The following is a 24001-nucleotide window of genomic DNA, read 5'->3' on the forward strand; positions in this document are numbered from 1 at the left end:
CCTCTGATAAATTACCTGGACAAAAAATAAAAACAAAAAGGATATGAAGAAAAGTGGGTATTAGGCTATGAAGGCTAATTTAATGTGTGCATTTCTGAGTGTGTGTGTCCCCCAGAGATCCGTCAAATTATCAAATATAAGACCACAGAGCAAACTTCAGCATACGTATTTAAAAAGTTGGTCTACCACAGTTGAATTTAAGTAGAGACAATAATGAAAGTCAATACTTTCAGTGTATACTGGGCAGATGATGGGTGCACCCAAATCTCACAAATCACTACTAAAGAATTTATGTAACCAAACACCACCTCTTTCCTAAAAACCTATGGAAATAAAATTTTTTTAAAATAAAATAGAAGCCAAAATTGAAAATTTTATTATATTCCCCTAAATATTTCCTAGGTCAATGTTTAAATTAAAGTTATAATTACGGGCTATCTTTAAAGTAATGAAAATGGAAACAATACTTATTTTTAAAAATAACAAAAACAATACTTATTTTTTTTAAATCACAGAGTGTAGCAAAGGAGCATTCATATGAACTTTAAAGTAGTTTTTTCCAATTCTGTGAAGAAAGGCATTGGTAGCTTGATGGGGATGGCATTGAATCTGTAAATTGCCTTGGGCAGTATGGCCATTTTCACGATATTGATTCTTCCTACCCATGAGCATGGAGTGTTCTTCCATTTGTTTGTATCCTCTTTTATTTCCTTGAGCAGTGGTTTGTAGTTCTCCTTGAAGAGGTCCTTCACATCCCTTGTAAGTTGGATTCCCAGGTATTTTATTCTCTTTGAAGCAATTGTGAATGGGAGTTCACTCATGATTTGGCTCTCTGTTTGTCTGTTGTTGGTGTATAAGAATGCTTGTGATTTTTGTACATTGATTTTGTATCCTGAGACTTTGCTGCAGTTGCTTATCAGCTTAAGGAGATTTTGGGCTGAGACAATGGGGTTTTCTAGATATACAATCATGTCGTCTGCAAAGAGGGACAATTTGACTTCCTCTTTTCCTAATTGAATACCCTTTATTTCCTTCTCCTGCCTAACTGCCCTGGCCAGAACTTCCAACACTATGTTGAATAGGAGTGGTGAGAGAGGGCATCCCTGTCTTGTGCCAGTTTTCAAACGGAATGCTTCCAGTTTTTGCCCATTCAGTATGATATTGGCTGTGGGTTTGTCATAGATAGCTGTTATTATTTTGAAATACATCCCATCAATACCTAATTTACTGAGAGTTTTTAGCATGAAGGTTGTTGAATTTTGTCAAAGGCTTTTTCTGCATCTATTGAGATAATCATGTGGTTTTTGTCTTTGGCTCTGTTTATATGCTGGATTACATTTACTGATTTGCGTATATTGAACCAGCCTTGCATCCCAGGGATGAAGCCCACTTGATCATGGTGGATAAGCTTTTTGATGTGCTGCTGGATTCAGTTTGCCAGTATTTTATTGAGGATTTTTGCATCAATGTTCATCAAGGATATTGGTCTAAAATTCTCTTTTTTGGTTGTGTCTCTGCCCGGCTTTGGTATCAGAATGATGCTGGCCTCATAAAATGAGTTAGGGAGGATTCCCTCTTTTTCTATTGATTGGAATAGTTTCAGAAGGAATGGTACCAGTTCCTCCTTGTACCTCTGTAGAATTCGGCCGTGAATCCATCTGGTCCTGGACTCCTTTTGGTTGGTAAACTATTGATTATTGCCACAATTTCAGCTCCTGTTATTGGTCTATTCAGAGATTCAACTTCTTCCTGGTTTAGTCTTGGGAGAGTGTATGTGTCGAGGAATTTATCCATTTCTTCTAGATTTTCTAGTTTATTTGCGTAGAGGTGTTTGTAGTATTCTCTGATGGTAGTTTGTATTTCTGTGGGATCGGTGGTGATATCCCCTTTATCATTTTTTATTGTGTCTATTTGATTCTTCTCTCTTTTTTTATTAGTCTTGCTAGCGGTCTATCAATTTTGTTGATCCTTTCAAAAAACCAGCTCCTGGATTCATTGATTTTTTGAAGGGTTTTTTGTGTCTCTATTTCCTTCAGTTCTACTCTGATTTTAGTTATTTCTTGCCTTCTGCTAGCTTTTGAATGTGTTTGCTCTTGCTTTTCTAGTTCTTTTAATTGTGATGTTAGGGTGTCAATTTTGGATCTTTTGAATGTGTTTGCTCTTGCTTTTCTAGTTCTTTTAATTGTGATGTTAGGGTGTCAATTTTGGATCTTTCCTGCTTTCTCTTGTGGGCATTTAGTGCTATAAATTTCCCTCTACACACTGCTTTGAATGCGTCCCAGAGACTCTGGTATGTTGTGTCTTTGTTCCCGTTGGTTTCAAAGAACATCTTTATTTCTGCCTTCATTTCATTATGTACCCAAGGAGCATTCAGAAAAAAAGTTTTGTTATTTAAATGTTCTCTTTTATCTTAAAGAGGAAAAAACACTAAGTCCTCAATGCTAACTTCTTAGTTAAAAAATAACAACAAAATAAATTAAGAAAATAGGAAAAAAAGGAAATAATGAAAGTGAATTAGAAAACAGATAATTTGAAAAAGCTAGTTCTCCAGAACAAAACCAATAAACAACAAATCTCTGACAGGTTTATTAAAACAAATATAGAAAGCATAAATAGATAACATCCTGAAATATGGGAATTCTACATGCAACTCCAGACTAATAAATTTTAAAACACTGGTTAAATGAATAACTTTGCACTCAAGATAAAGAAAGTGGATTTTTTTAGCGAAAACAAGATGATTTAATATTATTCACACTTATTGAAAACCTTGACATAACACTTTGTTATACAGTAATTTGAAGATTTGGTTTTGGGTTGAGTTTATTTCCAGACTTTATTTTCATGTCTGCCATAACCAAAAATACACCTCCGTAAGAGACACAGATCCAAATGGAAGAAAAATGTCATTGGCAGTATTTACGAAGTCATAATATTCATTCTTCAATTCCATCTGACAAGCATGCCAAGGTTTTTGCTGACATTTGGCTGGTGAAGTTTCATCTTCCCTAACGTCAACAGATGATTTTGCAAACTGAAAGCAGTTGCATTTTCATATTTTTAACAAATGAGTCTGAAACTCCCTTGATCTCTTCATTTGGAAGTTTCTCACACAGTTGACAAAGTTCTGTTTCCAGATTTTTGAACTTTACAGAGTAGAGTTTGTAGATAGTGCACTCACCATCTTATTATTTTTTTTAGCTACAAAATCACATAATAGTTGAGACATTTCCAAAAACATCTATTTTCAAAAATGTTCTTTCCACAGCATAAGGTTCCTTTGAGAAGCGGTGATTTCCTCAATCTTTGTTAAAATGTCATCTTTACCTGTGTATGGCCAACAACATCCCACCATCTCAGAAAAGACCAGAAAGTGTAGATCATTTGACTGTTTATGACAGAAAGCGTGCGACTCTTATTTGTGTTTGACAATTCACTTAAGAACTTTGCCCTGAAATAAGACGCACACTTTGTTGTGGCACAAAAGCCACCTGCAGCCATCTTCCATCTCATCTCAAAGATGTAGGCCAGTGAGAGTCAATAGAGATCTACATTTTAAATTGTCTTTTGGAAGTCTGTTAATCGTTTTGGCCAACTTCTGTCCAATCTGATGAACTCCTCAGTGCTCTAACTCATAGAGTAACTAATGAAGGGCTCCTTTTGGGAGCAAAGGAAATGTCAGCTTGGTCACTGTCTTGGGGTCTACTTGGGCCTGTTAGATCAGCATGATCAAAAGCTGAGGTTTCTTGGTAGACGTTCTGTAAAGCCTCTTGCCCATTATCTATTAGTCTAGTTGAAGCAAATTAATATAATCTGTAAATCCCTGATATGGTTTGGCTTCATCCCAAGCCAAATCTCATCTTGAATTCCCAAATGTTGTGGGAGGGGCCTGGTGGGAGGTGACTGAATTATGGGGGCGGGTCTTTCCTGCACTGTTCTTGTGATAGTGACTGAGTCTCAAGAGATCTGATGGTTTTAAAAAAAAAAAAAAAGAGGGGAGGGGTGCGGAGTTTCCCTGCACAAACTCTGCTTTTGCCTGCCGCCATCCACGTCAAGTCGTGACTTGCTCCTCCTTGCTTTCCTCCGTGATTGTGAGGCCTCCCCAGCCATGTAGAACTGTAAGCCCAATTAAACCTCTTTCTTTTGTAAATTGTCCAGTCTCTGGTATGTCTTTATCAGCAGCTTGAAAATGAACTAATACAATCCCCCTAACCAGGCACTTGTGTCACAAGTCACTGGAAGGTACCACAGTACCTCCCAGTGTGAGATGCTCTCCTTTTCCTAAACACTTCACACCAGACCAGACAGCATATGGGCAACTGAAGGCGGCAGTGTCATTCTCTACTGTAGATAATCAGTAAAGTATAATTTCCTCCTTTTATTCTTATACTCCAAAAAAACCCTTACATGCCCTCCCCTTTGAAAATCAGGCAGAGAAATTACCATGAAACAAGGAAAAAGACAAGAAGCCCATTATGTCCACTATTAAATAACACTATCCTAGAAATTCTACTTAATGCAGTAAAGCATGAACACAATAAGAGACTATTTAAGAGGAGAAAAACTAAAAAATAAAAATGAAAAGCCTAGAGTGAAATACATGTAAATATTTAACTCATCTTTCATAGTTAAGAGGCAGAAATTACAAAGGAAAAGATGAATAGCCTTGCCAGTATAAAAATACAAACTTCTAAACATTATAAACGATATAAATAAAGGTAATAGGCAAACAGGGAATGCAAAGACTGTATGATCAGACAATTCACAAAACTGGAAAGACAAAGAATTAATAAAGTATGCAAAAACAACAGTTGATCTCACAAGTAACCAAAGAAATACAATTTTTTAAAAGATGCTCTTATCTTTTTTTTTTTTTTTTTTTTTAAAAAGAGAGACTGAGGTCCTGCTGTGTTGCCCAGACTGGTTTCAAACTCCTGGGTTCAAGGGATCCTCCTGCCTCGACCTCCCAAAGTGCTAGCATTACAGGCCTGAGCCAGCATGCCTGACCATGTTATCTGCTTTTTCAATGGGGGAGAGTTTTTGTTTCAATTTTTGTTTTGTTTTGTTTTTTTGTTTGTTGTTTTTTTCTGAGACGGAGTCTTGCTCTGTCACCCAGGCTGGAGAGCAGTGGCACGATCTCTGCCTCCCCGGTTTAAGCATTCTCCTGCCTCAGCCTCTGAAGTAGCTGGGATTACAGGCGCATGCCACCATGCCCAGCTAATTTTTTGTATTTTTAACAGAGATAGGGTTTCACCATGTTGGCCAGGCTGGTCTCGAACTCCTGACCTCATGATCCGCCCACCTCGTCCTCCCAAAGTGCTGGGATTACAGGCATGAGCCACCATGCCCAGCCCTTTTTCAAGTTGTTTTTAACATACTGGTGAGAATGTAATGGGACTGATACTTCATAGCAATTGAAACAACAGTTCAGAGAAAGTAATTTGGCCATTCTGCATCACAAGTCTGAAAAAAATAGTTCTGGCCCTTTGACCCTGTAACTCTATTTTTTTTTTCAGTCTGTCCTGAGATGTAGCCAAAGATTTGTGTATCAAGAAAAGGCACTGCGTTGTATTTTTAATGAACAACAACAACAAAAAAGATAAAAACAAGAAAAAAAAACAGTTAAAAATACAGAAATCAATAAGCAAAGTGCATTCATATCAGAGTATGTTGTGGATCAAAGACGCTCACTAAAATTTTAATGACATCCAAACATCTTTATAATGTACCACTAACTCTAATACGTGTTTCAACTGAGAAAAACGAACACACTTCTCTCCTAAAATTCTATTACAATCATGATATAGGGAACAAAATAGAATAAGTGCATAAACACAGATGTATGTATTTAAGTATAAACTGTATTTGTCTAATTATATTTATAGCCAGTCACGGTGGCTAATGCCTGTAATCCCAGCACTTTGGGAGGCCAAGAGGGGGCAGATCACTTGAGGTCAGGAGTTCGAGACCAGCCTGGCCAACATGGCGAAACCCCGTCTCTACCAAAAATACAAAAATTAGCTGGGCATGGTGGCACGTGCCTGTAATCCCAGCTACTCTGGAGGCTGAGGCAGGAGAATCGTTTGAACCCCCGAGGTTGGAGGTTGCAGTGAGCTGAGATCATGCCACCACACTCCAGCCTGGGTGACAGAGTGAGACTCTGTCTCAAATAAATAAATAAAAATGTAAATAAGCACAGAATATCAGGGAAAGACCATCATTGGCCCAAAAACTTTGGCAGATCCCTGGAGGGCAGGATGAATTCATCCATCTTTACAGACGTAATTGGGCAGACAGAAGCCAGGCTGAAAGCATGCAAACTGGAAAGAAAGTGGAGGAGGGAGAAGCGCTGAGAGCACACAGAGTATAGTCCCAGTCAGCAGTTGCTAAGATCTGGACTGGAGACAGGGTGGACAGGGGGTGACTGATTTAAGTCCTTCACTTAGATCAGCTTGCTGGGTTTCCCACCCCTAGAAAAAGATCCTCTTAAAAGCAAGCAGGCCGGGCTGGGTGGCTCACACCTGTAATCCCACCACTTTGGGAGGCCGAGGCAGGTGTATCACTTGAGGTCAGGAGTTCGAGACCAGCCTAGCCAACATGGTGAAACCCTGTCTCTACTAAAAATACAAAAATTAGCCTGGCTTGGTGGCGCATGCCTGTAGTCCCAGCTACTCGGGAGGCTGAGAGAGGAGAATCGCTGTAACCCAGGAGGCAGAGGTTGCAGTGTGCTGAGATCACGCCACTGTACTCCAGCCTGGGCGACAGAGCAAAGACTTTGTCTCTCAAAAAAAAAAAAAAAAAAAGCAAGCAGTGATCTGCCTGAGGAGTAGATCTGACGTTGATCTCCCAGAGTAAGGCCTTCATCTCCTGGCATTTACATGGGGCATCCTGTTCACCCCTTCCCAGTCTTGAACCCTACAATGAAGCCTACTGGTCAACATGCCCCACTGCTATAAAAGAGTTTGCAGCCATTGGTCTCATTCAGAGAGAAAGGCTGCTACTAAAACCTGCCTCTTATCACAGCCCATCACATTCAGAAACGCCAGGAATGGCAATGACCAAACAAGGATTGCCAGACACTTCAAGAAAACCAGTGTCACCGACAAGCAGGACAGAAAAGGTGACCCCAGACACAGCAAGGATGATCCTGGAAAAAAGAAGAGACCTTGGAAGAATTTTAATGTAATGCTTCAGGGAGAGCTGAGAGGCTGCTAAAAAAAAAACAGTCTGAGATGAGGAATTGAAGAAAGTTTAAAGAACTGATGAAATAGGAGAGAAAATTCAAATTGTATACACAGTGAATTACTGCAGATGCGTTTCAGAACAAGAGAACAGAGACCACGGAGAGGAAATAATACAAGAGAAATTCCCAGAGCGGATGAGATGAAGCTTGAGACTGAAAATGCCTGTCAGCTGCTATATGGGATAAATGAAAAGACCCACAAAGAGCCAAACCTCATAAAATTTCAGAACATCAGAATTAAAGAAAGCACCTAAAGCCCTAGAGGAAGGAACGGACAACGTTTTAATGAATGGCGATCATGCTGACATTAAACTGCACATCAGCATCATCAGACACGAGATAACAGTGGAGCAAGTGGTCTGGACATCACAGGAAAAACTAATTTACACCCAGTCAAAATCCAATCAAGACAGAGGCTTAGAAAGTTTACAATTTGGCTGGGCGTGGTGGCTCAGGCCCATCATCCCAGTACTTTCGGAGGTGCAGGCATTCCAGATTAGCCAGCATACCAAGCCCCCATCTCTACAAAAAATACGAAAACAGGATGAGCGCAGTGGCTCACACCTGTAATCCCAGCACTTTGGGAGGCCAAGGCACGTGGATCACTTGAGGTCAGGAGTTCATGACCAGCCTGGCCAACATGGTGAAACCCCGTCTCTACTAAAAATACAAAAAATTAGTCAGGTGTGATGGTGGGCACCTGTAGTCCCAGCTACTAGGGAGACTGAGGCACGAGAATTGCTTGAGCCCAGGAGGCGGCGGATGTTGCAGTGAGCCGAGATCGCGCCACTGCACTCCAGGCTTGGAGAGAGAGTGAGGGTCTCAAAAAAAAAAAAAAAAAAAAAAAACGAAAAGAATCCGGGCCTGGTGGCATCCATCTGTAGTCCCAGTTACCACAGAGACTGAGGCAGAAGGATCCCTTGAGCCCAGGAGTTCAGGAGTTCAAGGATACAGTGAGCTATGATGGTGCCATTGCACTCTAACCTGGTGACAGAGACAGACCCTGTCTCAAAAAAAAAAGAAAAGGAATTTTACAATTCATAGACATCATCTAAAAAGAAATCACTCAGTGAATTATTTCAGCAACATGCAAAAGGAGTCCAAGAAATGAGAGAAAATGAGATCTAATTCATGAGATGGATTCTAACAATGAGGTGAGAGCCCAGAAGACCACAGTGGGGGCAGGTGTTGTAAATCAGTGCCAAGGAGGACAGGAAGAAGTGAACTTCCAGCATCAGTGCATTAAAGAAACTGCATACCAGGTGGCCAGATCATCTGAGGTCGGGAGTTCAAGACCAGCCTGACCAACATGGAGAAACCCTGTCTCTACTAAAAATACAAGCCAGGCGTGGTGGGGCATGCCTGTAATCCCAGCTACTTGGGAGGCTGAGACAGGACAATCCCTTAAACCTGGGAGGCAGAGGCTGCGGTGAGCCAAGATCGCGCCATTGCACTCCAGCCTGGGCAACAAGAGCGAAACTCCATCTCAAAAAAAAGAAAAAGAAAAAAAAAAAAGAAACTGCATATGCTTAGTGAGAAGGAGAATCCAGCATCAATATTAAATATCAAATAAATACAATGAGAGTGGGCTCGCCCTCCCTCCTTCACTCTCTTTTCCAATTTATTTATCCTTTCCTCCTATAAATGTTACAGCACTAGGTGGGGTGTGCTGGCTCACATCTGTAAACCCAACACTTTGGGAGGCCGAGGCAGGAGGATCCCTTGAGCCCAGGAGATCAAGGCTTAGTGAGCTCTGATCATGCCACTGTACTCTCATCTGGGTGACAGAGCAAGACTCTGTCTCGAGAAAATAAAAAGTAAATGTTATGGGATTGCTTGTATCATATTTGTTTCTGCAGTGAGTAATTATTTACATAATCATAGTAATCATATTCACAAAATCTTTGGTTTTGAATTTGAAATAGGAGAATCATGGAAATTTCAGATAGAGAACAAATGTAAATGCCTGCCACTCTAAGAGTCAGTAATACAGAAGACAAGCTGCAAAAAAGAAGAAAGAAATGAAGAGGTGCTAAGCCCTCCCCCGAAACCACCGTCTTTCAGACTGGGAGGTCCAAAGGTATGGTTTCAAGTTAATAAAGAAAGACTTAAGTTTATAAGCTAAAGCAATAAAGCTATTCAATTCAGATTGGAAAAATAAAAATGTGACTGGCAGAGACTGGGATGGGAAAGGGGAAAGACTCCACGTTCTTCCTGTCTTTCAAAGGAGAGGATGGAGAGATCCCATTTCAAGTGGATGCTCAAAACCACATAAGGTTGGGCACAGTGGCTCATGCCTGTAATCCCAGCACTTTGGGAGGCCAAGGTGTTCGGGGGCCAGGAAGGGGGGATTGCCTGAGCCCAGGAGTTCCAGGCCAGCCTGGGCAACAACAGGAAGGCCCCATCTCTACAAAATTAAAATGAATTTTAAAAAAAATCAAGTAAGCACTTTACTTGGAGTGATTTCATCCACCAGAATCACTGAGATGAAAAATGGCTTACAATGCTTGCCTCTGACATGGGGGGGGTATAGCTGCCAGCGTCTCTTTTACGTCTATCTACTTATATTTTGTTTTTTTATTATCCTATTCTTATATTACTTTCATTAGGTCAGGCCATAAAATCCTATGTAGGGCATAATCACAACTATATAAATATAATTACCTGGCCTACCTAGCCACATACATATATATTTATAGAGATATATAAAGTTCTTCAAAGGATATAAACCAAAATGTAAATACTAGTTATTGCTGAGTGATGAACTTACTGTTGTTGTATATTTAGTTGTTTAACCTCTCCACACTTAGTGACATGGGTCTATTTCATTTTTACAGCTAGAGAGAAATTAAAATGATTTTACAAATGAAAGAGCCTGGCTGGAATTTCCTCCACGTGGGAGTAAGGCCCCAGGAAGCCCTCAGACAGGACCAAGGCTGCCTGATGGCCACGGCTACAGTGACCTGCAGCCTCGCATGTGACCTGCTGTCTGCAGCCCAGGCCTCCAAAGAGAGCCTGGGTTGGAACCCTTTAAGGGCCCGTGTTAACAGCTGGCTGTGTCAGCCAGGACAGACATGTGCCTCCCATCCCAATTTTGATTTTGATTGGGACTGGCCCCCAGAGAACTGCGGAGGATTGCAAACCTTCAGGTAATTAGATGAACGCTCCTGCTGGAAGAAATCCTGCACCAGCTTCACAAGGATGCCGGCGCTGGCCTGCCGACAGGAATGCTTTTGGCAGGTGATTTTGAGTTGTTCTTTCTGAAAGTAATTACACAAAAAGTTCCACTGCTTGTTAAGGCTCCTTCTTAAGGCTGTTTTGATCTCTTTTAATTAATAAGTTGAATATGGAAGGATTTAATTGTGATGAATTTCTATGTAACTTCCTTCAAGATCCCCACGTAAAGTGGTCCTGCTAAGTCCACCATACACTTCTAGCTGCTCAGACACCTGTATCAAACCGAGAGCCTTAGATAGCTTTCTGCAAAGTTTGAGAGAATCCTGCTGGCTGAGGCCTCTCCCAAGACAGTGAGAGGTCAGGGATTATTTGATCTACGGGAAATAACTGCACACTGTACCCAACATTGATTGTTGAGAGTTCTCTAGAACAGCACTTTTAAGACTTTAGTAGCTTAGTTTGCTCAGGTTACCGTAACAAAAGACTACAGACCGGGTGGCTTAAACAACAGAAATTAATTTTCTTATAGCCTGAAGGCTGGATGTCTAAGATCAAGAGGTCAACATGGTCAGGTTCTGATGAGGACTCTCTTCCTGGCTTACAAATGGCCACCTTCTTGCTCTGTCCTCACATGGTCGGGGAGAGACAGAAAGAGGGAGAGAGGGCAAGCTCTCTGGTATCTCTACTTATAAGGGCACTAAATTCCATTATGAGGGACCCACCCTCAAGACATCATCTAAACTTAATTACCTCCTGAAGACTAAAGTTACCTTGCCCAAATTCCTATCTAAGGGGTCTAGGGAGTCATGCCCTACAAACCATAAACACTCATCAGATGGGTTTTATCTAACCTTGTATATCATGACTTACTTTCCAAACTGACACTGGTATAACATGACAAGACAAGGAAGAAAATCAAAAAATTTTACCCCAAAACATGTTTCTTTGCCATATTTTGAAATGGTCCTGCAAAGCTGTCCTTTGTGGGGGAAAATGTACATCTGTAAAGAATCTCTATTCACATAGCTAGATCTTTTTCTTCCAGGCCCTCCCAATCCTGAAGAGATTAAGTAAGAGTCTAGCAATTTTTTAAAGGTCTGAATAGAAAACATTTGTCATCTATCTATCTGTCTCTAACGGCAGCCACTATAAGCCTTCAGAAGAAGGTCTCCACAGTCTTTTATCTTAACCTAAACATTTCCTTTCTATGGAACCCAGGTCTTTAGACAAACTCAACCAATTGTCAATCAGAAGATGTTTAAATTTATGGTGTACTTGGTTTCTCCAGTCGCCCACCTGGCCTTCCAATCTGTACTTTCCTTCTTTTCTTTTCCTACTGTTCTAAAGCTTTTAAATAAACTCTCATTCCTGCTCTAAAAAAAAAAAGAAGAAAAAAAAAGAAAAGAAAAATAAAAAAGAAAATGTTTAAATTTACCTATAGCCTAGAAGCCCCCATTTTGAGTTATCCCCTCTTTCTGGACCAAACTATTATGTTTCTTAAATGTATTTGATTGATGTCTCATCCCTCCCTAATATGTATAAAACTAAGCTGTGCCCTGACCACCGTGGGCACCTGGTTCTCAGGACCTCTTGAGGGCTTTGTCTCGGGCCATGGTCACTCCTATTTGGCTCAGAATAAATCTTTTCAGGTATTTTACAGAGTCTGACTCTTCGTTGACACTCCCAAAACCCCATCTCCAGATAGCATCACACGGAAGAGAGGAAGAGCCTCAACATGTGAATTTGGGGTTGGGGGACACAGTTCAGTCCACAGCACTAACTAGGTCGACAGCAAATATGATTGAAGACAGACAAAGTCAGGCAGGGGCCCTAGCCAGACTTCTGTTTTTGGTTTTTGCTTTTTGTAATTTTTTTTAAACTCAAATTAGCCCTATCTCAGCAGAAGAGGCTTTTAAGAGATTCAAGCAGAAAGGTACAGGACCTCTGGAGATTGGCTTCATTTTGGCCAATTAACATAAAATGAATAGTATGTAAATTAGATTCATTCAATCCATCATTCAGATGGAAAGCCATTTGAAACTTACATGTTATTTTTGAGTTGACAGCATGAGAATGTTTGGAAATAAGACTACAGCACAGAGGACAAAGATTGCATTATTTTTTCCTGAGGTTTCTTCTCATTCTGCCATAAAACTGAGGGCACACCCTACGAAGGCTGAAGCCCGTCTGGCCGCAAGAGAGGTCAGTTCATTCACTCGGTCGCTCGTGCAGTGCAGTGGGCATTTAACGCATCTAATGGGCTGTGATCCTCGGATGGTATCAGAGCAGAAGTCACAGCCTGTGGCCTCGCAAAGCTTGCAGAATAGCTATGATATGATATTATCTGGGCAATGCGACTGCCTGAGAGCTACGCATATTCAAAGACAGCAGAGTAGGGACTAGAAGCAACCTCCTGGCTGAGCCTCTGGTGCAGATGCCGTGGGGAGGTGACGCTGGTCACAGACTTCCCAATGCAGACACAGACACTAGTGCCCTGCAGAGAGCAGCCGGCAACAGGGATGTCACCAGCAGGACACAAGATCATCCCAACAGCCGGGCAGAGGACAATGACTGAAAGACGGCTGTTGCCTCAGGACATCTGCTGGCAAGAGGAGGGTCCCAGACGACAAGAGAAGCAAAAGGCAGAGACAAAAAAAAAAAAATGAACACAACCTAACCCAAGAGGGTGAGTTCACCAGAAGGACATTTCGTGAGTCCTCTCACTCACTAACCTTCACAAAGACACGGTGATGGACAGAAATCTGCTACAAGAAATCAGAACTTTTCTTTGCTCAAGATGTGTAATAAACAAAACGACAGAAATCCACAAACTAGGGCTGGGTGCAGTGGCTCACACCTGTAATCCCAGGACTTTGGGGGGCCGAGGCAGGTGGATTGCTTGAGGTCAGGGGTTTGAGGCCATCCCCGCCAACATGGCAAAACCTCACCTCTACTAAAAATACAAAAATTAGCCAGGCATGGTGGTATACACCTGTAATTTCAGCTACTTGGGAGGCCAAGGCACAAAGATCATTTGAACCAGGGAGAAGGAGGTTGCAGTGAGCTGAGATTGCACCACTGCACTCCAGCCTGGGCCACAGAGTGAGATGCTGTCTGTGGGGGGGGGAGAGAGAGAGAGAGAGAGAGAGAGAGAGAGAGGAAAGAAAGGAAAGAAAGAAGAAATCCACAAAGTACCACCAAAGCTTGAGCTGCTTGGATGCAATGCCCTCCCAGTGTCAAGCCCAATGTCAGATATACAAGGAATATTTGAAAATGTTTGCTGAATGCACGAATGAATGAATGAATGAACGATATGAGGGATCCTGTCCCCCTGGGAACTGCAATGAAAACATTGCAGATGACATAAAATGATGAGTCCCCCAGAGCTACCATCCTCCCATGTCCTTCTGATGAACTCACACTCTTGGGTTAGGTTGTGTTCATTTTTTTTGGTCTCTGCCTTTTTGCTTCTCCTGTCAGCTGGGACCCTCCTCTTAGTTCCTTCCCGGAACAAAACACAACCTCAAGGTCGGTGGGGGCAGAACAATAAAAACTTGGGTGAAGAACTTTCATGGAGTGATAATGATTCTAGAAGCTTCCCTGGGGATCATTCCCATCTGGCATGTATGCAAGTACCAAAGGAAAATTTTGCATGAAATTCCATGCAACTAACTCATGCAGGAAAATAGTAAACATTTTTAGAGGGCTCACTATGTGCTAGGCAATTCTAGGCAATGTTAAGTAATGTCTCAGTTATACCTTATCCCCATTTTATAGATGGGGAAATGGAGCACAGGCCAATTAAATAACTGGTTCAAAACTGCAGAGTTAGTAAGTGGTAGACCAGGCAGTTTAGCTCCAGAGGCAACAGCTTGCACAAGCTCTATAGCCTGCCTTTTTCATTTTCTCACCTAAGCCAGGAACCTGGAGGGAGGCTCTACGGGAGGGAGACTATTCAGAACTCATCCTGAGCCAGATGGAGAAGACACAACTAAAGGCATTCATTTATCCTAGAAATCCATGCCGGTCCTGTTCATCTTTCTGAAGTCACATTCTGAGCCAGGGCCTCCACTCTTTGAAACATACACATCAGTCTGTGTGCAAATAAATCCACTGGCACCCAAGAAGGGACTCAAAAGGGTCCCAAGGAACTCAGGAATGGACCCCTCTCTTCTGATGGAGCACATGTCCCGTGCAAGGTCCTGTGGCCTGGAAACACAGCCCTGGCAGGTGTCAAAGGTGCTACAGAAAAGAATAGGGGAGGGGGGCTCACAAGGGTTACACGGGACTCAAGGAACGGCAACATGCGTGACCAAGGGAGGGAAGCCACCTTCAAGAGCCCTTGGCGGAGGGCATGGGAGGGAAGCTGATGAATCAGAAGTGGCAAGCAGGGAAGGGCAGGGAGAGGCAAAACAAGCACAAGTGCAAGGTCCCCCGCTGTGCACTGTCGTCTCCTGTCCCACAGCCGGCCAAGAAAGACAGCGCTGGACCACTTCCCACATTCTGCTCCAAGCCAAAGAGGTCCAAAAGCCAACCTCATTTAGTCATCTCTCTACTCTCTCCTGAAACGACCTTCCTTCATCACCAGGTCCAGGGAGATTTGCTGACTTTGAATCAGAAACTTAACCTGCGCTTCCCGCTTCAAGGCTATCCAGGGCCAGGGGCAAGCCTGGACAAACTCCGATGCCCTCCAAGGGGCCCTGCCAGCATTCTCTTCCCTGAGCACTGCACCCTGTTCACATCGGTCCGCCAGCATCCCCCAGGGATGCCCCCACACTGCCCTCCATGTCTTCATTCTCTGACTACTCATGGCTACTAGCTGACTGTTATAACGTCCTGATCAAGGACTTGCTCAGGAAGGAGGAGTTCTGCAACCCTTAAGTCTCTAGATATACAAAGAGAGGCAGCCTAGTAGATTGGTCTGGTTTTCAAGCCAAAAAGCCCCCTGACCTAGTCCTGGCTCTGAAAAACCCTAGACAGCACAATGCTACTCCATCTTAGTTTTGCCATGGATCAAATGGGAGTTGTAAGGTATCTACCTCATTGAGCCATTGTGAGGGTTAATTGATATGATCCAGAAGATACTTATCACAGAGGCTGATATGTGGTCAGAAGATAATGCATCCAGCTCTTGGCATTCGAGATACTACCTAATAACAATGGCAATGGCCTAGATGCAGCAGTGCTAATATCAGTAGACAAGGAACAGAGGGCAGAACAAAAGGAATCTTGGCTTCTGTGGTTATAATATTGACATCACCCTAGTGCCATTTAGATAATACCTTGGGTAGTGCCAGCTCTCAGCCATGTGCTGGCATGGTGTGGCGGTGGACACTTGATGCATCTGGTGACATCTACATCAAAACGTAAGAGCAGGCCAGGCATGGTGGCTCATGCCTATAATCCCAGCACTTTGGGAGGCCAAGATGAGTGGATCACCTGAGGCCGGGAGTTCGAGACCAGCCTGGTCAACATGATGAAACCCTATCTCTACAAAAAATACAAAATTAGCCGGGCATGGTGGTGGGCACCTGTAATCCCAGCAACTCAGGAGGCTGAGGCAGGAGAATCACTTGAACCCGGGAGGTGGAGGTTGCAGTGAGCCGAGATCACGCCACTGCACTCTGTCGCCAGCCTGGCGACAGAGCAAGACTCCGTCTTAAAAAAAAAAAAAAAAAAAAACAAAAATAAAGAAGAAGAAAATATATATATACGGTGGATCCTTAAACAATATGACATTGAAAGGCACGGGTGTACTTATGCATGGAATTTTTCCAGTTATGCCAAGTGTGCCTTTCTCTCCTGCATCCCTTCCCACCTCCTCCACCTCTTCCGACTCTGCCACCCCTTGGGGAACAAGACCAGCCCCTCCTCCTCCTCTTCAGTCTACTCAACGCAAAGATGATGAGGATGAAGACCTCTATGATGACCTACTTCCATTTAACGAATAGTAATAAATAGATTTTCTCTTCTATATGGTTTCCTTAATAACATTTTCTTTTACTAATAACATTTTATTTTACTTTACTGTAAGAACACAATATATAATATATCAAATACACAAAATATGTGTTAATTACCTGTTTACATTATTGGTAAGGCTTCCAGTCAACAATAGGCTATTAGTAGTTAAGTTTTGGGGGGAGTCAAAAGTTATGTGAATTTTTTACTGTGCAGAGGGTCAACACCCCAACCTTGCATTGTGGAAGGATCAACTGTATTTCTTTTTTCTTTTTTGTGTGTGTGTGTGTAAGACAAGGTCTCACTCTGTTGCCCAGGCTAGAGTCCAGTGGCTTGATCTCGGCTCACTGCAGCCTCAACCTCCCCGGCTCGAGCAATCCTCCCACCTCAGCCTCCCAAGTAGCTGGGACTACAGGCACATGCCACCACAACGCCTGGCTGAGATTTTTTTTTTTTTTTTTTTTTTTTTTGTAGAGATGGGGTTTTGCCATGTTGCCCAGGCTGGTCTCGAACTCCTGAGCTCAAGCGATCCACCTGCCTCAGCCTCCCAAACTGCTGAGATTACAGGCGTGAGCCACCACCGCGCCTGGCCATCACCTGTATTTCAAGCAAAGTAAGGTGATCTGTGAAGGGTTTGAATGCCACAACAAGGCTCAGACTTTGAAGAAAAATAGGAATGATCCAAAGAAACATGAAAGATCCAAGAAATGAGCATAGGAGAGTGATGGGAAAGAAGGAAGAGGAAAACAACAGTGGCTTCCAAGACCCAGTGGCAGAAGCAACCTGCCACAGGCGCCACTTCCAGCTGAGTAAGATCCATGTCCCCAAAGGATACTGTTGACATTTCTGGACATTGCTAAAAGCCACCTGCCCTAGACTACAAGAAGCATTCTGGTTTCAACAAGTCACTCCCAGGCTGGGCGCAGTGGCTCACACCTGTAATCCCAGCACTTTGAGAGGCTGAGGCCAGAGTATCACTTGATGTCAGGAGTTCGAGACCAGCCTAGCCAACATGGTGAAACCCTGTCTCTACTAAAAATACAAGAATTAGCAGGGTGTGGTGGTGCATATCTGTAATCCCAGCTACTCGGGAGGCTGAGGCAGGAGAATCACTTGAACCCAGCAGGCAGAGGTTGCAGTGAGCCATTGCAATCCAGCCTAGACAACAGAGTGAGACTTCATCTCAGAAAAAAAAAAAAAAAAAAAAAGTAAGTCACTTCCCTATAATATTTTGGATTTTGTTGTTCACCCCATGTTATACCTATAAGCCATGTGCCCCAGGACAGACAGCGCTGGGCCACTTTGCAGTTGAGGGGGCAGAAAATTGGGTTGCAGGTGAGCCATGTATACCTAGAGATCCTCGTGCTAGGAGATATTTTTTCTTTTGCAAATTCAAAATGTAACTTTGGAAAAGATGCCTCAGGTTCAGAAAATTCAGAAAGGACAAGTAAGTCAAAGAAAGAAGGACAATGGCATCATTGAAAAGGAAAACAAACAGTTATGACAAGTTGAAAGATTTGGGACAACTAGAAAAATAGTGACCACAAAGATCATGCTTATTTTCCTATTGAAAAAAATATGGATAATTTTAAAATAGAAGAGAGAATAAGGGAACATTTGCCCTATCATAATTTTTTTTTTTTGAGATACACAGTCTCATTCTGTCGCCCAGACTGGAGTACAGTGGTGCAATCTCGGCTCACTGCAACCTCCACCTCCCGGGTTCAAATGATTCTCCTGCCTCAGCCTCCCAAGTAGCTGGGACTACAGGCATATGCCACCATACCCGGCTAATTTTTGTGTTTTTAGTAGAGACAGGGTTTCACCATGTTGGCCAGGCTGGTCTCGAACTCCTGACCTCAGGTGATCCGCCCACCTCGGCCTCCCAAAGTGCTGGGATTACAGGTATGAGCCACTGCACCTTGCCAATCATAAAGTTACTAAAATTAAACCAGGGTGGCACTGGAAAAAGAATGGATGGGAGAATGGAGAAGAAACAAAAGATTTAGAGGTCAACCCAGATGAGTATGGTAATTCGGTACATAACAAAAACGACATTTCTAAATCAGTGAATGGATTATTTAGTAAGCATTATTGGGAAAATCGAAAAAACATTTGGAAAAAAATAACAATAAAGTTACATCCCTATATCCTACCATAGCCAAATTAATACTAGTTGTATTAAGAAAAAAAAAATTCTTTGAGACAGAGTATCACTGTGTCACCCAGGCTGAAGTGGAGTGATACAATCTCAGCTCACCGCAACCTATGGCTCCAGGGCTCAAGCGACAGCTCCCAACTCAGCCTCCAGAGTAGCTGGGACTATCGGTGCGTACCACCATGCCTGGCTCATTGTTTTGTACTTTTTGTAGAGATGGGGTCTCACTGTGTTGCCCAGGCTGGTGGTCTCAAACTCCTGGCTCAAGCAATCCTCCCACCTTGGCCTCCTAAAGTGCTGGGATTACAGGCATGAGGCACCGTGCCCAGCCTGGATTAAAAAATTTAATGATGGGACTATATATGAGACTTCTGGCTAATAATTGGCAAACTGAACTCATTTTCCCCTCTCTTTACCTAAACACTGCTAAAATAAGAACAAAGAACAGAGAGGCAAGGGAGATACTCCCCTGTAAACTACAAGGAAACAGAGGAAGGGAAGGGAGAGATTTCAAAGGAGATGTGGAAGGCACAAAGAAGAGGGAATGGTAACCACAGGGTGGACAAATTCTGTGCCTATTGTGGGTCTACACCACAAATGAGCCAGACAACAGGGCAGACAGACAGAGCCCCGTCCCTCACCCATGGAGTCAGCACATTGCCCCTATGCCTGTGTTCCTGGAAGCCTGCAGGCCAGCCTTGGCAGCAATGAATAAGAGGACACACCAGGCCCAGCACAGGGCTGGAGTGAGGTGTCGGTCGACTGAGGGCAAGGAGGGGGAGCCAGTCTATGCACAGAATCAAGGGGCCCTCTGCCACCATCCCCCTCCCTGACGGCAGAATTCCAGCAGCTGAGCCTACGCCTGATTCCTGCTTTCCAGCACTTTCCCAGGGCAGCAAGGGACAGCCACTTTGTGTAAAAAGCCATTTAATACTATTTGATTTCTAAGCTATGTGCAATACACTATGTTAACATATATATATACATATATATACATATACATATATACACATATATACACATATATATACACATATATACACATATATATACACACATACATAGATTTTTTTTTTTTGAGAGAGTCTCATTCTGTCACCCAGGCTGTAGTGCAGTGGCACAATTTTGGCTCACTGCAATCTCTGCCTCCCGAGTTCAAGTGATACTCCTACCTCAGCCTCCCGAGTAGCTGGAATACAAGTGCCCACCACCACACCTGGCTAATTTTTGTATTAGTAGAGACAGGGTTTCACCATATTGGCCAGGCTCAAACTCCTGACCTCCGGTGATCTGCCCGCCTTGTCTGCCCAAAGTGCTGGGATTACAGGCGTGAGCCACCGTGCCCGGCCATATTTTTTAATTTTTAAAAGAACGCAGAGGTAAGTATTTGTGTAATCTCAGGGATGGGGAGGAATTTTCTAAACATGATTCCAAAACTTAAATATTTAAAAAGAAATAATAAAACATTTTGTTAAAAAAAAAAAAACAAAAAAAACTATAGGCTGGGCACAGTGGCTCACACCTGTAAACCCAGCACTTTGGGAGGCCAAGGCTAGAGGATCACTTGAGGCCAGAGTTCAAGACCAGCCTCAGCACACAGTGAGACCCATCTCTACAAAAAAAAAAAAAAAATTAATTAGCTGGACATGACGGCACACACCTGTGGTCCCAGCTACTTGGCAGGCTGAGGCAGGAGGATCACTTAAGCTAGGGGTTCAAGGTGGCAGTGAGCTATGATCGCACCACTGCACCCCAGCCTAGGTGACAGAGTGAGACCCTGTAACTATAAAAATAATTTTTAATAATAAACACAAAGTTAAAAAGTAATACTAAAGAAATAAAGGGATAAAGAGCAAACATAGAAAATTTTGCAACATGTAATAAAGGCTACTATTCTTTCCACTACAATTCTTTAAAAAACATTTTTTAAAAAACCGTGACCAATGAACAGACATAAAACATCAATGTGCAATTCACAAAAGGAAAAATCAAGCAGCCAATAAGTATATGAAAACAAAACGTATGTGCTCACTTATAATCTCAGAAATCCAAGCTAAAACACCAACACAAAACCACTTTAGCTGTCAAATTTTGAAAAACAGAGGCCGAGGCGGGAAGATCACTTGAACCCGGGAGTTCGGGACCAGCCTGGAAAACACAGCAAGATCCTGTCTCTACAAAAATAAAAAAATTAGATGGTGTGGTGGTGGATGCCTGTAGTCCCAGCTACTCGGGAGGCTGAGAAGGGAGGATTGCTTCAGCCCAGGAGTTCGAGGCTGCAGTGAGCCATGACCATACCACTGTATTCCAGCCTGTGTGACACAGTGAGACCCTGTCTCTAAAAAAAAAAAAAATTTCAAAAAACAACGCCAATAGCAGACATTGGTAAGGATGGATAGAAATAAAGCCTCTTTTCATTGCTGCTGGAAATTAAAATAGGAAAAAGCTTGAAGAAAGTCTGCAAATTGTGGACCTGATAATTCCTCTTCTAAGAATTTCTCCGGCCGGGCGCGAATCATGCCTGTAATCCCAGCACTTTGGGAGGCTGAGGCAGGAGGATCACTTGAGGTCAAGAGCTCAAGACCAGCCTGGCCAACATGGTGAAACCCCGTCTCTACTAAAAAAAAATACAAAAACTAGCCAGGCATGGTGGCAGGCACCTGTAATTCCAGCTCCTCAGGAAGCTGAGGCAGGAGAATCGCTTGAACCCAGGAGGTGGAGTTTGCAGTGAGCTGAGATTGCACCACTGCACTCCAGCCCAGATGACAGATTATGTCTTTAAAAAAAAAGAAAGAAAGAAAAAAAAGAATTTGTCCTTAAAAAAATACTTACAGATGTGCAATATTTTTCATTAGTGAAATCGAAAACAACACGTGGCACACCCATTTGTGGACTATGATGAATTCGTTGAAAATGTTGAAGTGGGAGAATATGTAATATTAGGGTGGTGCAAAAGTAATTACGGTTTTTGCCATTGAAAGTAACGGCAAAAACCGCAATTACTTTTGCACCAACTTAACACAGAAACATTCACAGGATATTAAGTGAAAAAACAGTTCATTTAGGAATGGATGCTGCAACCCCTTCAGATAATAAAGAGGGGAATACAGAGTAAAGACACACAACATCCACACAAATGCAGACTCTGGGACATTTTAGCCTGAAACTGTCATCAATGATTACCTCTGGGGTCAGTGGGATTACGAGTGAATTTAATTTTCTTCTATTTGCTTATCTTTAAAAGTTTAACCACAAACCTTTTACTTATGCACTTAAAAGAATATTTTAGGCCGGGGGCAGTGTCTCATGCCTGAAACCCCAGCATTTTGGGAGGCCGAGGTGGGAGGATGAGAGGATTGCTTGAGTCCAGGAGTTCAAGACCAACCTGTAACAGCATAGTGAGACCCTGTTTCTACAAAAAACTTAGAAATCAGCTGTGCATGGTGTCACATGCGTGTAGTCCCAGCTATTCTGGAGGCTGAGGCAGGAGGATCACTTGAGCTCAGGAGTTCAAGGCTACAGTCAACTATGATGGCACCACTGCACTCCAGCCTGGGCGACAGAGCAAGACTGCCTCTCAAAAGAAAAATAAACAAATAAACGAAAGGAAAGGAAAGGAAAAAAAAAGGAAAGGAAAGGAAAGGAAGAAGGAAGGAAAGGAGAGGAGGAGGGAAGAGAGAGAGAGAAAGAGAGAGAGAGAAAGAGAGACACAGAAAGAGAGAGAGAGAGGGAGGGAGGAAGGGAGGGAGGGAGAAAAAGAAAGAAAGGGAAGGAGAAGGCAGGGAAGAAGGGAGCAGGGGAGGGAGGGAGGGAAGGAGGCAGGAGGGGAGGGAAGGAGGGAGGGAGGAAGAGAGAAAGAAAGAGAAGAGAAGGAAGGAAGGAGAGAGAAGGGGGGGACGGAGGGAGGGAGGAAGGGAAGGGAAGGAAGGAAGAAAAGGAGGGAAGGTGTTTCCAAATGAGAAAGCAAAAATGAGACAGCAGCAGTTTTCTCCTGGGGAAATCCCTGTTAGGTTGGTGAGTCTTACAAGCCATCATCCCACAGAGGATTTATTCCTAAACATTTCTACAATGAAGGCTGAGAGGATCTAATGTTGCAGTTTGGTACCACAACTGTTCCCACAACTCTGTTTGCTCTGCCTGGCTGGCCCCACCAGAGAACTGATGACAGCCAGCATCTGGTAGGATGGGACAGCTGGGCTGCAAACGCTGGAGACAGAACTGTGACCACAGGGCGAACTGGGCTGCTGCCACTCAGAGAAGAACCTGTGTGGCACCTGGACAGACCTGGCCTAGGAAGTCCCCCCCAGACTCAGAAAGGAGTGCTAGGCTGAGAGGAAAGAAAGGGCTGAGGTTAGGGATTTGAGGAGAACATTACTTCCAGTCTTTCTAAGAAAAAGAACTCAATGTCTCCCTCCAAGAGACACCAGCATGACACCGGCCCCAGAATTGGAGGCTCCAGCCCTGGTAAACACCGGGAATCCAAAGAATGTCCTCGCAACAGATGAAAAAGTAAGGACATGAATGAACTGGAAATACAGAAAAAAAGAATGTCAAACCACCCCACCCTTTAGGAAAAATATTTCACTCTGTGCAATAGATCAAATTCTACTTCCCAGTGATTTGCAAAACAGTATGGGACCTGAGTGTTATTTCTGATTGAGCGTCTATGGCTGCTCACAGGGACCCTTTTTCTCTGGTCTCACCTCCCTCTGTCAATAACCTGATCTGGAAATTTCACTCAAATTCATAAGGGGCATCCCTATTTCAAAGGACTCTACAACGTGAATTATTTGGTTTCAATGCAAATGATACTCAAGTCTTAAACATCTGTTCAGATATTCTTAAAGGGTCCCATTAAGAAACACCTTGATTTTACGTTATTTTCTCTTCTGCTAATTCTCTGAAGAATTCAAGGGACTGAAAGAAGTCGCTCATTTGACGCACTTTCATTCTTCTCCTACTACCAACCTCTCCAATAGTGTCTCAACTATTATCTCCCTCTTACTCTGGAGCAAAAAAATCACAGAGCAAGGGACAGAAGATCAGGATTCCTTGCAGAAGAACCACCTTGCAAACAGACACAAGCTTATTCTTTCCACATTGGTGTCCAGGAGTTATGATGACAGAGGATCAAATGTACAGCTAGCTCTCCACAGTATAGTTAGTCCTCCAATTAAACTTCATTTTTCTTTTGAGATGGTGTCTTGCTCTATTACCCAGGCTGGAGTGCAGTGGTGTGATCATAGCTCACTGCAGCCTCGAACTCCTGGGTTCAAGCAATCCTCCTGCCTCAGTCTCCTGAGTAGCTAGAACCACAGGCATGCACCACCATGTGTAGCTTTTTTTTTTTTTTTTTTTTTTTTTTTTGTAGAGACAGGGTCTCGCTATGTTGCCCAGACTAGTCTCAAACTCTTGGACTCAAGCAGTCCTCCCACCTCAGCCTCTGGAGTAGCTGGGATTTC

General features: G+C 43.0%; 1 protein-coding gene across 15 annotated transcripts in view, besides 1 other annotated feature; it reads right to left on the reverse strand.

Moving 5' to 3' along the window:
• The window catches only part of CALN1 (calneuron 1), a 724789-nt gene that overhangs the window by 515336 nt on the left and 185452 nt on the right, over nt 1–24001 (reverse strand). Inside the window, exon 1 of one of the 15 annotated variants that reach the window (XM_017012679.1) lies at nt 10387–11361. The exons of the other annotated variants lie outside the window; for them this stretch is intronic. The gene's annotated coding sequence lies outside the window, so the exon portion shown is untranslated. Of the gene's footprint in view, nt 1–10386; nt 11362–24001 lie in introns of those variants that run through there. 15 annotated transcript variants of the gene reach the window in all.
• Nucleotides 18514–18705: a silencer, noted in NCBI's record as "fragment chr7:71778325-71778516 (GRCh37/hg19 assembly coordinates)". NCBI's record gives its function as "represses an EF-1alpha promoter that drives an FKBP-Casp9 reporter gene in an ReSE screen in HepG2 liver carcinoma cells {active_cell/tissue: HepG2}" and the evidence as "EXISTENCE:reporter gene assay evidence [ECO:0000049][PMID:32094911]".

This window comes from Homo sapiens, chromosome 7 (assembly GCF_000001405.40).
Source record: "Homo sapiens chromosome 7, GRCh38.p14 Primary Assembly".
Classification (NCBI taxonomy): Eukaryota; Metazoa; Chordata; class Mammalia; order Primates; family Hominidae; genus Homo; species Homo sapiens.